The sequence below is a fragment of the Homo sapiens genome, chromosome 5 (assembly GCF_000001405.40).
Source record: "Homo sapiens chromosome 5, GRCh38.p14 Primary Assembly".
Classification (NCBI taxonomy): domain Eukaryota; kingdom Metazoa; phylum Chordata; class Mammalia; order Primates; family Hominidae; genus Homo; species Homo sapiens.
This window is the reverse complement of record NC_000005.10, coordinates 109450213-109468421: the sequence shown is the minus strand read 5'-3', so window position 1 is coordinate 109468421 and position 18209 is coordinate 109450213. Positions and strand designations below refer to the sequence as shown.

Sequence of the window (18209 nt, the reverse complement as noted above, 5' to 3'; positions counted from 1 at the left end):
GCTGACTCATCATTTTACACATATGAGCATATTGATCCTAGGATCCTTGGAAATTGATTCTTGAAACAAAGGGTATCTATATTTTTAATTTTGATAGATATTACAAAATTGCTGTCTAGAAGCTTTTCTAGTTTGTACTAGTTTTACACTTTCATTTTCTTGAAACTACCATTACTAAGTTTCCTGATCTTTGCCAATTAATAGGTAAAAACCACATCAGTGTGGTTTTAATTTACATTCTTTTGTTATGAATAAGTTTGGGTACCTGTTTCATATACCTAAGAACCAATGGTATATTTCCTTTTTTTGTTGTTTTGTTTTGAGAGAAAGTTTTCGCACTGGTTGCCTAGGCTGGAGTGAAATGGCACAGTCTCCTCTCACTGCAAACTCCGCCTCCCAGGTTCAAGCAATTCTCCTTGCCTCAGCCTCCCAAGTAGCTTGGATTGTAGCCATGCACCACCACTCTTGGCTATTTTTTTGTATTTAGTAGAGACGGGGTTTCACCATGTTGGTCAGGCTGGTCTTGAACTCCTGACCTCAGGTAATCCACCCGCTCAGCCTCCCAAAGTACTAGGATTACAGGCATGAGCCACCGCGCCCGGCCCCAATGGTATATTTCTTGTCTACTCTCTTTTCACATCCTTTACATCCACTTTAAAGAGCAGCCATCAGCCATCAGCTGTTAAATAAAGCAAGCACTAACGCTTGGCTCAGCTTGTCTAAATATCAAGTAATTGTGTATGTATTGAGCAAAAACTAGATCCTTGCTAAGCATTGTGCAAACCACTATGGAGCAGACAAGATATATATTCTAAGAATCGTTCATCTGTATGGAGCCAACATAATTATTCCAGCTACCTTCTCACCTGACACACTCTCAAAGTCTAGATTACCACCAGTGCAATACCAATCGCTAGGGCAGATAATGTAATTTGTCACCTAAATCCCTGTTAGTAACAAATACGCTAGGTGCTGGTGATACAAAGATGAATATGACAGTTTTTAGTGAAAAAATAAACAAAATAAAGCAACTGAATTGAAGGTATAAGTGCTGAAAACTGTTCGTGGTACATCAGTGGGTAAAGTTGGGAGTGGTCAATTCTGCTGAGGTGGAAAAGCTTATTAAAGGAGCTATATGGTGGGTAAGCTTCCTCGAGGGGGCTCCATAAGTACACACTCAGTTCACTCCACTATCTTTGCCTGCTTGACTTGCCAAAACATAGCTGGTTTTCTCAACAACTGAGTCTTTTAACTTAGCTCATTCCTGCAAATTACTTCCCATATTTGCTTTACATTGGTCTTTTCGTTTCCTTTTAATATATAACCTATAATCTAGGGTCCTGATCATGTTCCGTAGCCTGGGATTCTTTTATAATTAACACACTTAAAGAGATAGGTCCCTCAGTGGCTTCTGAGCAGAGGTTAGTCCTGGCTTTGACATCACACAGTGTCGAACCTGTGAGGAATGACTTTGGCTGACCAATAATGTGGTAAGTACAGTAACTACCACCAGAGAAAGCCTTTCCAACCCCTCCTTTCACCTGAAAAGCAAGGATTAGTTCTTACTCATACAAAGCCTACACAATGCAGGCATTCAATAAATATCCTTGAATGTGTGAAAGGACAGCAGGTACAACACTAGGCTGATGTCAAAGCCAGGCCTAACCTCAGCTCAGAAGCCACTGAGGGACCTGTGTCTCTAAGTGTGTTAATTATGGAAGAATGCCTGACCACAGAACATTATTAGGACCCTTGATTATCAAATGGTCACATCTGGGTCAGGTAGGTGAGTTAGGTTTTACAGTATCTCAAAGAGTTATTTAATTCATAACTTTGGAAAACAGATAAATAATAAAAGCATTTATTAACCACCAACTTAATTATATCGAGAAATATATATCCCAAATGTCTGCTGTTGGTATCACCTTATTAACTACGAATCTTACCTTACCTGGGAGTTATAACTCTCTAGCCATGAGTTCAGGACCTCAATTATCCATCATTGTGTTTTCTTCTGTTACTCACTTTCCCCCTTTCCTAAATCCCACACTGGTCCTTGTCAATTAGATAAATGATTTTCAGCCTGTCTCCACATTTGCTCAGTACCTAATGATTGAATTAGAAGGTTTGATAACTTCTGGTGCAGGACGGGCATTTGTCACTGCCGTATCTGGAGTCTCCTAGTGTCTTCTGTTCTGGACATCTACATGTCACGGTACTGTGTGTTGGACTTACCTTCTCACGTAGTCTTTTCTTGCTCAATATTTCTGGTTTTCAAGACAATATTCTGGTTACTTATTCTAAGGTATTTCTTTCTTTGTAATAATTGAGGTGGCTTTTTGGCTTAGAACTTTTTAAAACAATATCTAAGAAGAAATAAGGCAAAAATATTGGTAAATGATATTTATTTTTATTAAATATTTAGGTTTGGCATATATGTACCCAAGTTTCCCAAGACACACACACAGACACACTTTTTAATAAACAGCTAGTATTCCTTTTATAGGTATCTTATCATCAAAGGGACTATAATCTTGGGCCACCAGCTGGAAGGTCCATAACTGATTCTTTAAGCCTTACAACTAAGGACACTTTCAGATGTATTCCAGATCTCTCTTATCACATAGTCCATCTTCACTCCAATGGCTAAGACGTTGACCCAGTTTGGTCCCGTGACTGGTATTGGCCACACAATGTGCCATGACTGGTTCTCTCTTGGCTCCTCTGACCATTGGCCTTAGCAATTCCTGAGGTTTATGTCTCAGGATATTGCAGAAAGCTGTATCTTCTGCCCTGTATTTTGAGATAAGGAAGAGTAGCTTACAGAAGAAAGCTATTGTCTTGGAGTTCTTTTCCTCTTTCATTAAAAATTGTCCCTTAGCTTTCTGGTTTACATTTATGGCTTTGCAACTAAAGGATGAAGCTGAAATTAAACAAAAAGCTTTATGTTTTCAGCTTGAAGCTAAGATCTCAAAATGTGCTTTTCCCCATTTTTCTTATTCATTCTCAGCTTTTGCTGTCAATGTTGTTAATAACAAAATAAAATAAATCTCTTCTGTGGAATTATTTTTTAAAAGCTTCATTTGCTTGTTTGGCTAACATATAACTTTGCATCACTTCTAACAGTAGAGTTACTTTTCAGAATTTCACCTGTTACTTATTTGAGACTATAAAGAGTCAAGGAGCAAAGCTAGAATTCATAAATATTGTACCAATGCTCAGACCTGCCAGGCCACCTACCATATATAACCCTTCTGTTGTACCCAGTAGGTCAACCCACAGACCTCAAATGACAGCTATATGGCCCCTTCCAAATGCCCTGTGTGCCAAGGAAAAATCTTGGTATGTTAGATATATAGCCATTGATTCTCTTTTGTACTCAAGATGTCTTCGCATTAATAAAGCAAACCAACAGCAAATATTTCAGCCTTCTCTGACTACACTTCAAAGTTCAGAAGGAAGATTTTGTTTTAAAGAAATAATTCTGGTTGAGTTCAAAATAACCTGAAACTATAAAATTTGGAGAAAGTTTTGGTTTTTATTTTAAGTTAAAAATGCTTGAAGAAGAGAGAAAATTTTAAGTTATGAAAATACCTCATTTATCTTTGTGACATTTATACTTTATTAGATATAATTTCATTTTTATTAATGTAAGTTCTCAGCTCCATCAAATGCTAATAAAGTAGAAGTTGTAAGACCATATTTATTATCAGAGACATACAAACCATTTTTGATAGTAATATTTTCAAAAAGCTAATCTGAAGTCATGATGGGATACTTTTACTCTGCTTGGCAATACTATGAACTGATAAGATTCTTATATTTCTAATCCATCTCCATTTTCAATATCCAATCAAAATTTTAAAAATGACATTAAATCTTGAAGGTAATAATAAACCAGGGTCATTCCAAATTCCGTGATTGGATGGCCAATTGCATGTGAGTACATGCTTTGTTCAAAGTTTCCATCACGTTCAGGAGGAATCAGAGATGAGTAACAACTCTAATTTGGTTCTCCTTTTCCAAGGTTAACTGGTATTAGAAAAAGTACTTTCAAAGAATCTACACTTAAAACTGTGGCAAAAGCAATGCTTTGTGTTCACCTAATCCTGTTTCATTTTCTTTTCCTGAACACAAGAGAAAAGAGTATTTCATAACTTTCCTTATAGTTAGGCCAGAGAATATGCAACTAATTCTGGTCAATGGCCTGTAAGTAGAAGGAAAGGTGCCTCTTCCACAGTAATTGAGGCCACGTGTTGAGAGTGCAGCACTTCAAGATGGAAGCCACCTGGATCCTGGAGTCACCACATACTAGACAGAATCCTTCTTGCATTGGAACTTTTATGAAAAGGAAAGGTTCTTTTGTTGTGTTAAGTCATAGAGATTTCAGGATATCTATCACAGCAGGATAGCCTAGCCTGTCCTAATGCAATTCAGAAACAAATTTTCAATATAAGTATGGAAAAAATTATATGATTGACACTTCCTCTTAAAAGAAAATCAAAATTGTGAAAATGAGTTTATTTTCTCTTTAATTGTATAAAATATAGGTTATATTGTAATTATAATCGTATTTATGCCTAAAATAGAGAATGAATCAAATGTTGGACTTTTAGCAGGTTTTGTTTAAGGACTCTTATATGTCTAATAGCCTTTGAAGGCTACTCTAAAGATGGAGTATGTCTCCTTCTCAATCTTTGGAATTACTAAATTGAAATGTAATACACATCCATTTAGGATCCCTCTGAGGTAAAAGTATGAAACTTAACGATTGGATATTAGAGAAAGTCTTACATTTAAAAAGGTTTAAAACAGTTCAAGTTCTTAGAAAATCCTTTTAGGAGTTGCATAAAAGTTCATATATAAGAAAATCACATTTTTTATGCTTCTTCGAAAGAATAGGTACAGTACTGTTATTTTACTGAACTTCGGAGAGTTCATAAAAATTCCTACTTCTGGCTTTTTATTTATTTATTTATTTATTTTAACAGGGTGTTTCTGCTGTGAACAGAGGGCACATAGCAGCTGTTCTTTTTTTTTTAATACTTTAAGTTTTAGGGTACATGTGCACAACGTGCAGGTTAGTTACATATGTATACATGTGCCATGTTGGTGTGCAGCACCCAGTAACTCGTCATTTAACATTAGGTATATCTCCTAATGTTATCCCTCCCCCCTCCCCCCACCCCACAACAGGCCCCAGTGTGTGATGTTCCTCTACCTGTGTCCATGTGTTCCCATTGTTCAATTCCCACCTATGAGTGAGAACATGCAGTGTTTGGTTTTTTGTCCTTGCGATAGGTTGCTGAGAATGATGGTTTCCAGCTTCATCCATGTGCCTACAAAGGACATGAACTCATCATTTTTTATGGCTGCATAGTATTCCATGGTGTATATGTGCCACATTTTCTTAATCCAGTCTATCATTCTTGGACATTTGGATTGGTTCCAAGTCTTTGCTATTGTGAATTGTGCTGCAATAAACATACTTGTGCATGTGTTTTTATAGCAGCATGATTTATAATCCTTTGGGTATATACCCAGAAATGGGATGGCTGGGTCAAATGGTATTTCTAGTTCTGGATCCCTGAGGAATCGCCACACTGACTTCCACAATGGTTGAACTAGTTTACAGTCCCACCAACAGTGTAAAAGTGTTGCTATTTCTCCACATCCTCTCCAGCACCTGTTGTTTCCTGACTTTTTAATGATTGCCATTCTAACTGGTGTGAGATGGTATCTCATTGTGGTTTTGATTTGCATTTCTCTGATGGCCAGTGATGATGAGCATTTTTTCATGTGTTTTTTGGCTGCATAAATGTCTTCTTTTGAGAAGTGTCTGTTCATGTCCTTTGCCCACTTTTTGATGGGGTTGTTTGTTTTTTTTCTTGTAAATTTGTTTGAGTTCATTGTAGATTCTGGATATTAGCCCTTTGTCAGATGAGTAGGTTGCAAAAATTTTCTCCCATTTTGTAGGTTGCCTGTTCACTCTGATGGTAGTTTCTTTTGCTGTGCAGGAGCTCTTTAGCTTCATTAGATCCCATTTGTCAATTTCGGCTTCTGTTGCCATTGCTTTTGGTGTTTTAGACATGAAGTCCTTGCCCATGCTTATGTCCTGAATGGTAATGCCTAGGTTTTCTTCTAGGGTTTTTATGGTTTTAGGTCTAACGTTTAAGTCTTTAATCCATCTTGAATTAATTTTTGTATGAGGTGTCAGGAAGGGATCCAGTTTCAGCTTTCTACATATGGCTAGCCAGTTTTCCCAGCACCATTTATTAAATAGGGAATCCTTTCCCCATTGCTTGTTTTTCTCAGGTTTGTCAAAGATCAGATAGTTGTAGATATGCGGCATTATTTCTGAGGGCTCTGTTCTGTTCCATTGATCTATATCTCTGCTTTGGTACCAGTACCATGCTGTTTTGGTTACTGTAGCCTTGTAGTATAGTTTGAAGTCAGGTAGTGTGATGCCTCCAGCTTTGTTCTTTTGGCTTAGGATTGACTTGGCGATGTGGGCTCTTTTTTGGTTCCATATGAACTTTAAAGTAGTTTTTCCCAATTCTGTGAAGAAAGTCATTGGTAGCTTGATGGGGATGGCATTGAATCTATAAATTACCTTGGGCAGTATGGCCATTTTCACGATATTGATTCTTCCTACTCATGAGCATGACATGTTCTTCCATTTGTTTGTATCCTCTTTTATTTCATTGAGCAGTGGTTTGTAGTTCTCATTGAAGAGGTCCTTCATGTCCCTTGTAAGTTGGAACCTAGGTATTTTATTCTCTTTGAAGCAATTGTGAATGAGAGTTCACTCATGATTTGGCTCTCTGTTTGTCTGTTATTGGTGTATAAGAATGCTTGTGATTTTTGCACATTGATTTTGTATCCGGAGACTTTGCTGAAGTTGCCTATCAACTAAAGGAGATTTTGGGCTGAGACGATGGGGTTTTCTAGATATGTCATCTGCAAACAGGGACAATTTGACTTCCTCTTTTCCTAATTGAATACCCTTTATTTCCTTCTCCTGCCTGATTGCCCTGGCCAGAACTTCCAACACTATGTTGAATAGGAGTGGTGAGAGAGGGCATCCCTGTCTCGTGCCAGTTTTCAAAGGGAATGCTTCCAGTTTTTGCCCATTCAGTATGATATTGGCTGTGGGTTTGTCATAGATAGCTCTTATTATTTTGAGATACGTCCCATCAATACCTAATTTATTGAGAGCTTTTAGCATGAACTGTTGTTGAATTTTGTCAAAGGCCTTTTCTGCATCTATTGAGATAATCACATGGTTTTTGTCATTGGTTCCGTTTATATGCTGGATTATGTTTATTGATTTGCATATGTTGAACCAGCCTTGCATCCCAGGGATGAAGCCCACTTGATCATAGTGGATAAGCTTTTTGATGTGCTGCTGGATTTGGTTTGCCAGCATTTTATTGAGGATTTTTGCATCGATGTTCATCAGGAATATTGGTCTAAAATTCTCTTTTTTTGTTGTGTCTCTGCCAGGCTTTGGTATCAGGATGATGCTGGCCTCATAAAATGAGTTAGGGAGGATTCCCTCTTTTTCTATTGATTGGAATAGTTTCAGAAGGAATGGTACCAGCTCCTCCTTGTACCTCTGGTAGAATTCGGCTGTGAATCCATCTGGTCCTGGACTTTTTTTGGTTGGTAAGCTATTAATTATTGCCTCAATTTCAGAGCCTGTTACTTGTCTATTCAGAGATTCAACTTCTTCCTGGTTTAGTCTTGGGAGGGTGTATGTATCGAGAAATTTATCCATTTCTTCTAGATTTTCTAGTTTATTTGCATAGAGGTGTTTATAGTATTCTCTGATGGTAGTTTGTATTTCTGTGGGATCGGTGGTGATATCCCCTTTATCATTTTTTATTGCATCTATTTGATTCTTCTCTCTTTTCTTCTTTATTAGTCTTGCTAGTGGTCTATCAATTTTGTTGATCTTTTCAAAAAATCCTGGATTCATTGATTTTTTGAAAGGTGTTTTGTGTCTCTATCTCCTTCAGTTCTGCTCTGATCTTAGTTATTTCTTGCCTTCTGCTAGCTTTTGAATGTGTTTGCTCTTGCTTCTCTAGTTCTTTTAATTATGAAGTTAGAGTGTCAATTTTAGATCTTTCCTGCTTTCTCTTGTGGGCATTTAGTGCTATAAATTTCCCTCTACACACTGCTTTGAATGTGTCCCAGAGATTCTGGTATGTTGTGTCTTTGTTCTCGTTGGTTTCAAAGAACATCTTCATTTCTGCCTTCATTTTGTTATGTACCCAGTAGTCATTCAGGAGCAGGTTGTTCAGTTTCCATGTAGTTGAGTGGTTTTGAGTGAGTTTCTCAATCCTGAGTTCTAGTTTGATTGCGCTGTGGTCTGAGAGATAGTTTGTTATAATTTCTGTTCTTTTACATTTGCTGAGGACTGCTTTACTTCCGACTATGTGGTCAGTTTTGGAATAAGTGCGGTGTGGTGCTGAGAAGAATGTATATTCTGTTGATTTGGGGTGGAGAGTTCTGTAGATGTCTGTTAGGTCCACTTGGTGCAGAGCTGAGTTCAATTCCTGGATATCCTTGTTAACTTGCTGTCTCATTGATCTGTCTAATGTTGACAGTGGGGTGTTAAAGTCTCCCATTATTATTGTGTGGGAGTCTAAGTTTCTTTGTAGGTCTCTAAGGACTTGCTTTATGAATCTGGGTGCTCCTGTATTGGGTGCATATATATTTAGGATAGTTAGCTCTTCTTGTTGAATTGATCCCTTTACCATTATGTAATGGCCTTCTTTGTCTCTTTTGATCTTTGTTGGTTTAAAATGTGTTTTATCAGAGACTAGGATTGCAACCCCTTCCTTTTTTTGTTTTCCATTTGCTTGGTAGATCTTCCTCCATCCCTTTATTTAGAGCCTATGTGTGTCTCTGCACGTGAGATGGGTTTCCTGAATACAGCACACTGATGGGTCTTGACTCTTTATCCAATTTGCCAGTCTGTGTCTTTTAATTGGAGCATTTAGTCCATTTACATTTAAGGTTAATATTGTTATATGTGAATTTGATCCCGTCATTATGATGTTAGCTGATTATTTTGCTCATTAGTTGATGCAGTTTCTTCTTAGCCTCGATGGTCTTTACAATTTGGCATGTTTTTGCAGTGGCTGGTACCGGTTGTTCCTTTCCATGTTTAGTGCTTCCTTCAGGAGCTCTTTTAGGGCAGGCCTAGTGGCGACAAAATCTCTCAGCATTTGCTTGTCTGTAAAGTATTTTATTTCTCCTTCACTTATGAAGCTTAGTTTGGCTGGACATGAAATTCTGGGCTGAAAATTCTTTTCTTTAAGAATGTTGAATATTGGCCCCCAGTCTCTTCTGGCTTGTAGAGTTTCTGCCGAGAGATAAGCTGTTAGTCTGATGGGCTTCCCTTTGTGGGTAACCTGACCTTTCTTTCTGGTTGCCCTTAACATTTTTTCCTTCATTTCAACTTTGGTGAATCTGACAATTATGTGTCTTGGAGTTGCTCTTCTCGAGGAGTATCTTTGTGGCATTCTCTGTATTTCCTGAATGTGAATGTTGGCCTGCCTTGCTAGATTGGGGAAGTTCTCCCGGATAATATCCTGCAGAGTGTTTTCCAACTTGGTTCCATTCTCCCCTTCACTTTCAGGTACACCAATCAGACGTAGATTTGGTCTTTTCACATAGTCCCATATTTCTTGGAGGCTTTGTTCGTTTCTTTTTATTCTTTGTTCTCTAAACTTCTCTTCTCGCTTCATTTCATTCATTTGATATTCCATCACTGATACCCTTTCTTCCAGTTGATTGAATCAGCTACTGAGGCTTGTGCATTCGTCATGTAGTTCTCATGCCTTGGTTTTCAGCTCCATCAGGTCCTTTAAGGACTTCTCTGCATTGGTTATTCTAGTTAGCCATTCATCTAATTTTTTTTCAAGGTTTTTAACTTCTTTGCCATGGGTTCGAACTTCCTCCTTTAGCTTGGAGTAGTTTGATCGTCTGAATCCTTCTTCTCTCAACTGTCAAAGTCATTCTCTGTCCAGCTTTGTTCCGTTGCTGGTGAGGTGCTGTGTTCCTTTGGAGAAGGATAGGTGCTCTGATTTTTAGAGTTTCCAGTTTTTCTGCTCTGTTTTTTCCCCATCTTTGTGGTTTTATCTACCTTTGGTCTTTGATGACGGTGATGTACAGATGGGGTTTTGGTGTGGATGTCCTTTCTGTTTGTTAGTTTTCCTTCTAACAGTCAGGACCCTCAGCTGCAGGTCTGTTGGAGTTTGCTGGAGGACCACTCCAGACCCTGTTTGCCTGGGTATCAGCAGCGGAGGCTGCAGAACAGCGGATACTGGTGAGCACCAAATGTTGCTGCCTGATCGTTCCTCTGGAAGTTTTGTCTCAGGGGGGTACCCGGCCGTGTGAGGTGTCAGTCTGCCCCTACTAGGGGGTGCCTCCCAGTTAGGCTATTTTGGGGTCAGGGACCCACTTGAGGAGGCAGTCTGTCAGTTCTGAGATCTCCAGCTGCGTGCTGGGAGAACCACTACTCTCTTCAAAGTTGTCTGACAGGGACATTTAAGTCTGCAGAGGATTCTGCTTCCTTTTGTTTGGCAATTCCCTGCCCCCAGAGGTGGAGTCTACAGAGGCAGGCAGGCCTCCTTGAGCTGCGGTGGGCTCCACCGAATTCGAGCTTCCTGGCCCCTTTGTTTTCCTACTCAAGCCTCCGCAATGGTGGGCACCCCTCCCCCAGCCTCGCTGCCACCTTGCTGTTTGATCTCAGACTGCTGTGCTAGCAATGAGTGAGGTTCTGTGGGCGTAGGACCCTCTGAGCCAGACACAGGATATAATCTCCTGGTGTGCCATTTGCTAACACCATTGGAAAAGAGCCGTATTAGGGTGGGAGTGACCCGATTTTCCAGGTGCTATCTGTCACCCCTTTCTTTGACTAGGAAAGGAAATTCCTTGGCCCCTTGCACTTCCCCGGTGAGGCGATGTCTCGCCCTGCTTCGGCTCACGCTGGAGGCACTGCACCCACTGTCTTGCACCCACTTTCCAACACTCCCCAGTGAGATGAGCCCAGTACCTCGGTTGGAAATGCAGAAATCACCCATCTTCTGTGTCACTCACGTGGGAGCTGTAGACTGGAGCTGTTCCTATTTGGCCATCTTGGCTCTACCCTCTCCTGGCTTTTTATTAAACAATAAAATTAAAATGGAATTTATTTCATACTATTCAGGTAAAATTGGTTATATATATATATATCTCTTATTTAGCTATAAATAAACCCAGAAAGGAGGATCTGACAGGTTGGATGTCCTCCCAAGACTGCTAGAGACCAAGCTTTTCTCACAAGGGTGCTTTAATACAGAAAGAGATAGAGATGGCAGCAAATGGGATAGAAATATTTTTGTTTTAAGACACAAAACTTACTGTATGTAACCAATACATTTTAAAAAGTGTATAATAATAAGATTTATAATAATAGAGTATATCATATGTAAAGCCAGAAAAAAAATCCTTGGTTTACCTGTTTGGATTGTTTGGAAACTAACACTTCAACAAATAATCCTTTGAAATCAGAATTCTATCATTTTCATTACCTCATTTCCCCAAATGGAAAACTGTCTTTTTAACATTCTTACTTTATTAGATAAAGTATGTGATGGACATAAAGATTTTATCCCTCCTTAGGTACATATAAATCTTGTATTTCTGTTGCATTTCACCTACCTTAAGAAAAAAAAAAGAAAGAAAAGTAAAGTAAGAAAAGATTGCAGAAGCTTTGTAGCATTGAGAAAATGCATTATAGCATTTCAGAATATTTTGTTTGCTTGACTGAGAGCCAGAAATGATTAAACACTAAAATACAAATAAAATGTTTCTCAATCCAAATAGATTGGAAAAGATTTTCTGTGTTCCAATACAGTATAATTAACAAATGCAATAATGATTTTTGCCAAGGATTTATTACATGAATTTCATCAAAATGTTGATTTAGATCATTTGACCCATTAAACCCAATTTTAATTTTATATAAAAATTTTGGAAGTTTGTATATCTTGCTAATTTGATATGAATATTAGAGTATTATAGTTAGTCTAAATTTTTTCTTTCATTTATTTTTATTAAAAAAATATTTAGGTGTGCGTTCTCACTATGTTTGTCCAGGCTGGTCTTGAATTACTAGTCTCAAGTGCCTCCCCCTATCTCAGCCTCCTAAAGTGCTAGATTACAGGTGTGAGTCTAAATAATTTTGATTTAGTGTATTTAATACGTAATTCATTCACGTAGTTCAAAACTCAGAAACTTTAGAAGGTATGCAAAATATAAAAGTCTACCTTCTGTACATGATCCTTAGCTGCTCAGGGCCAGTCACCTCTATAAGTAACCACTGTTAGATTCTTATGAGTCATTCTGGTGTTATTCTGTATGAAAATGAGCAGATACAAGTACAGACCAATGACGCATTCCATTTCTCAGTTTGCTTGTCTTCTCTGTAGCAGTGACTGGCACTTACCACGCTCTGCATGTAGAAACAGTTACCCCTTGGCCTTTCTCCTGGCTTTCTCCTCCCTCTCTAGCACTCCTCTCCCTTCTCCCTGGCAGGCACTGTTTCCTCTGTGTCCGGTACAAACCAGTTCTTCTGTTTTCACATGACATATTCTTCCTGAGTGATCTCATCTATTCCCATCAGGCATAAATAAAGGTATTAGCATCAAAGCCATTTGTGGATGAAGAAAGTCTTTTCAGAAAAGATGAGTCTGCAGAATAAGGAGGAGACTGTTAGAAAAGAGCAACAGTAAGGGGATTTCTAAATGGAGGAAACAGCATATAGAAAAGCTAAATGGATAAAAGAGGGGCAAGACCACAAATGGAGTTACCAGCTCAATGTCTAACCTAAAAGATATTTGTTGCAAATGATGAACCAAATAATGAATAATGTTCAAGGAATATTTTTTACCAAAAGTAATTATTTCGCTAAGTCAACCATACAAATTGTGGAAACTGAATGAAAGGAAACTAAACTAAAAGAACTGAGTCTGCGTGCAAAGCAAAATGTGAATAAAATCGTAAATGAACACATGCTCTACGAGGAAACTAGTTTCTCAGCCTCCTGGTCATTGCCAGCATACTACTCTGCTTAGGTCACCTCTATGTGTGGAAAGGTCATCCAGACAGCTTTGCAGATTGGCAATTTGTGAACCTGTCTCAAGATCTATAAAACATATTGCAGCAGAACTTCAAAGCACACTTTGCCACATGGGTGGGAGACCTTTGTTTCCTTTTTTTTTTTTCTGCTTTTTAAGTCTGTAAACCATAATAAGGGCACATCAAAACCCTGTTGCTTTCTAATGTAACACAACAATGACATATTAAGTAGTATGAAAAGCATTAGCTTTCTTTTTGGATACCATTTTTTAAATAAACATTTTTTTTCTTAGACTTGCCATTCTCTCCGCTGAGAGAATAGTCTTCCAAAGTTGCAAATTCTTGTTCAAAAGCCAGAAGGAAAAGAAGCCATTCTGAACATACTTTAGCTGAAGAACATTTCTGCCCCTGTGAGGACAGCGTTCTGACTACCTAGATCACAGGATTTTTGCCTTTAGCAGAATACTTTTTGTTGATAAACCTTTATAATCTAAATTGATTGTTTCCATGTCTGTAAGATTCCCTTAGCTATATCTAAAAAGGACTAGGAAGAAACCCGAGGAACTGGTTCCTACTGCAGGAACAGACTGTGGTCATTGTCCTGTCACTTCATTTCCCTGGATTCCATTATCTTCCACTGTGCTAACATCACAGAACTGGTAAGAGAATCAGGTAAAATAAAATTACTTTTAAATCACAGATGCTATCATACAGGTGTAGGAATCTTCTAAACTTGGACCTACCTCTTGTTTGGGGTGATACCATACTTATATTTCTTTTTATCGCAATGAGATGGCAATAGCAGAATACCAATAGATAAAGCATTTCATATTCCCTTAATTCTCTGTGTGGTGCAAATGATAAACAATAGCTAAATTGCCTCCAGTTCTCTGCCTAAAGGTAGGACTCTTCATCCATCTGTCCTGAGCTCCGGTACCAAGGTCTCTCAGTTGGCAGTTGGGGAATAGATGACAAAAGCTTTTTTCCAAAGTTTTACATCCAAGTCAATGTGGGGAACCCCCACATTAAAAAGGGTAAATTCTGATTCTTTTTATCCTTTCCCCAGGGCAGAACTATGACCTCAATGAGAAATACAATTATAGCTTCATTGCAGGAGATTTACAGATATTACCCACATATTCTCACTATAAACATGTAGCCTCTCTTTCAGAAAAGGGCATGGTGACCATGGCATACTTTCCTGAAGAACAATGGTTTTGACCTAATGATCTTCAATGAGAAGAAAAAATGATATGGAAATGTCAGAGGTCTCAAGCCAATTTGGAAATTTTCAGGAAAGTGTTCTCATAACAAGAAGTGGCGTGGTATAATTAGAAAAGAGTTGTCCTAAAGTGAGATCTGAATTCTTGTCTGGTTACCCCATTTTGTTCTGTGTAACCTTTGTAAGTTACAACACTTGCAGGCTCTGCTTCCTTACCACCAATGCATGCCTACAATCTCTAAGCCCGCTTACAAGGCCAACACACTATGGTTTTTCTAATCATAGCTGTCTTTAATATTTTGAATCCTGATGTAACTTACTGGAGGGGAGAACAAAATGAAGTTTGAGTCTCTCAATGTTTTTCAGTGAGTTTTTAAAAACTGAACTTTTTAATCAGAGAGGCAAAATTTTAGTGGGGCTAATAAAGGCCTGACAATGACTTTCTTCTTTTCATTTAAATGTGGGAGGATGCTATCTGTATATGGGCTAATTTTGTCCACCACTGAACCAGAACAAATCCAACAAACTATGCCTGAATGTCTATCTCAGTGAGACTGCAAGGGCCACTGATGAATCAGAGTTAAGATGAGAGGAGATGAGGTCTCTATATCAAATGGATGATCTGTTTGTATCTAAAAGCCACTGTGTGCATAGGTCATGTTTTTAAAAGGGAAAAATATTCTCTGGCTACTTTAAATCCTATGAAGCAACTTTGGGGTTTCTATTCAACAGAACAAAAGGCAAGAACCAAGAGTTTTAAGTTCAGTTCAGACTTCAAATATCTGAGCATCAGCATGTCAATAAATACAGGCTAAAGTCACAGCTTCCCCAACATCACTGTCTCTCAGTTTACATACAATGTAAAAAAAGAATTTGATACAGCATCAGTCAAAGGTTTATCAACATATTATTTTAAGGTAATGAGATAAGGAGTTAAGTACACGGAAGTCATCTCACAGAAAGGTCGAATTTAACAACAACTACAAAAAATATGTTTTGATTTTCTCTAGACAAAGTCAATCTTAGTAAATTCAGATAAACAAAAAATAGAAATAATAAAAATCAACTGCAAGTCCAGCAATCTGTTAATATTTCCATGAGTTTCCTTATATTCTTTTTTCATGAATATATGCCTCCCAAAGTGCTGGGATTACAGGAGTGAGCCACTGTGCTGGGCCTGAGTCAGTTCTAAAGAAGAGACTGCAGCAGAAGTGGCTTGGCATGGCTTCCAAAGCTAGATCATGACAGGCTTCATGACTGAAGTAAAGAGTATTCGCTTTTCTTTGCCACACTTTCCTTATCTGTGAGATGAGAAAACTAATACTATCAATTTCATAGAATTATTTTTATAATATCATGGTTAATATACATGAAAGCCTTATCACATGTGGCTTGTAAGCAATATAAAATTGCAATCTACTATTTATTAAGTTGATTTTTTACTTTTTAGAAATTTCTGCCTGTATTTGGTATATATTCACATGTGGTTAAAGCTCTGCAGGTAACCATGAGTATTTTCTTAGAAATTTATAAACATAGAGTTGCTGGATCAAGATGTATGCATTCATTCAGAAAACACTGTCGAACTCGATTCTCACTTTGGAGTGAGAAACTCTGTTCTATAAAAGGCACATGGCATCAATTATCCTGATTTTGTGGGTGGATATTCCCATCACTTCTAAATCAGCTTTCATATTTTTATTAAAAAACTAGAAATAAAAAAGCAAAACATACTTGAGTTAGCAAGAAATCTTATGAACTTCTATGTCTTTTGCTACAGAACTAACAAGACAGAGTTTTCAGTTATTTTGCATAAAGTATCTAATTATGGGCCTGGGAATGGATGTGAATACAGCATAAAAAGATGTTATAATGGCTGGGTGGCTCATGCCTGTAATCCCAGCACTTTGGGAGGCTGAGGCAGGCAGATCATGTATGGCCAGGAGTTCAAAACCAGCCTGGCCAACATGGCGAAACACTGTCTCTCCTAAAAATACAAAAATTAGCCAGGTATGGTTGTGTACACCTGTAATTCCAGCTACTCGAGAGGCTGAGGCATGAGAATCTCTTGAACCCAGGAAGTGGAGGTTGCAGTAAGCCAAGATGGCACCACCACACTCCAGCCTGGGTGACAGAGCGAGACATTGTCTCACAAAAAAAAGAAGTTATAATTATATATATATATACAAATATATACACACACACACATATATGCCTATAAATTAAAAGCCTATATAAGTCAGAGTGCCTTGAATTGCAATGACAGGTAACTCAACCCAAAACGACTTAAGAAAAACAAATTATCAACTTACATATCTATTCATATTAGCTCAGGCAAGGCTGGATCCAGTATTCATCAAATTTCACTCTGTCTCTAACGCTTGATCTCTTAGCCATGCTTTCTTCTATGTAACTTTGTTTCCAAATGGCCTATCTTCAGGCCAGAGCCCCTGAAATTCCCAGGTTTATGTCTTCCAGTTTTATAACATTATAGTCAAAGTTCTTATTTGTAACTGCTCACTCTGACCCTGAGGATTAAACAGAAAAGGAGTTCATTAAAAGACTACTTTGCAGGCTACAGAATTGTTGTAAAGGCCAGAGAACCTTGCTTGCAGCCAAATTTCCAATATGCACAGTTTAAAGAAACTACAGCCAGCACCACCACTGCTGCTGCCACCAACACTGAGGGCTTTCTTTGCACTGCTGGCAAGAGTTCAAATACTGCTGGCATCAAGGCCATTCCAGGCCGAGGAACTCAATCATGCAATCACTGCCACCCCCAAAGCCATACATCTCAGTTGCTATCCTCAACAAATAGTGCCCCAAGAGCTTCCTTCTGTAAGTTGTTGACTTCTCAATCTAACTTTACTATATCTGAGTGATTGGTGAAGTCATCTAACTCACAGATTTGTTTCCTATAGCGAAAAGGATGGGGATAGCAGCAAGTTTTCTGTGTTCTACCTTGGTGAGACAAGCCTCATTGGAGAAAATTCTCTGAAACTTAAGAATTTTGTTCAAAGTTGCTGGGCCAGAAAGCATGAGGAATGTCTGGAAGAATAGCTCCAGGAGAGAGAGAGTCTTTTAATGTATTCTGCCAAAACGCTCAGATCTAATTTTTATGGTCCTGGCAAAGGTCATGTATTACAGCTTAGCAATCACTCTCCTGATTTGGGAACCCCTGATTTGTCATATGCCCACTCCTAGAGCTTGATGTTGCAGCCAGTCCCATTTGAACTAATAACAGAACTGACAGTCAAGGAAGAATAGACTGTGACAGCAAAATCACCCAGCGTCCCCCACAAAACCCCGCCCTGGTCTTTACAGGGCTCCACCAAACCCCTGAGCCTGTCGTCTCTACCTGCTCCTCCCTGCTGTTCACTGAACTACAATTTGTGACTAATTCAGTCTGCAGACCCCTGGCCACACTGCTGCAGAGCCAGAACAGCAGCGTTATGCAAATCGTACCTATTCTGCCACCGGGGTTCTGGAAACAAAAGATACGGAGGTAGAAAGAGAGAAGAGAATTTCTTTGGAGGAACTACTCTGCGGGCAAATGAGAACTGAAGGGGCAAAAAACAGAAAGAATGAAAAGTTTGTTTCTTAAAGGCAGAGATTTGTTTTCCCTTCCATAAGTAGCAAAGGTTTAGGCTATCTACTTTCTTGTTCTACTCTAGGCACGTATTTAGGGCTCTTCGCAAAAGAGGAAGAAAGAAAAGCAGAAAGAGGTGAAAGAACAAAATGTTGATGGCTCTACTCAGAGCCATTACTGAGAAGGATGTGGCACCACCTCACACTGCTTCATATGCCTGTGGGTGTGTATATATGTATAATATAACATATACATACACCACGA

General features: G+C 38.6%; 1 long non-coding RNA gene across 1 annotated transcript in view; it reads right to left on the bottom strand.

The window, feature by feature from the left end:
* The window catches only part of LOC105379117 (uncharacterized), a 122892-nt gene extending 105914 nt beyond the window's left edge, over window positions 1-16978 (bottom strand). Inside the window, exons 1-3 of the long non-coding RNA XR_001742838.2 lie at window positions 16669-16978; window positions 12503-12746; window positions 2236-2366 (exon numbers count right to left, since the gene is read on the bottom strand). This is a non-coding gene — a long non-coding RNA (uncharacterized LOC105379117). The remainder of the gene's footprint in view (window positions 1-2235; window positions 2367-12502; window positions 12747-16668) is intronic.
* Between the last annotated feature and the right edge of the window lie 1231 nt (window positions 16979-18209).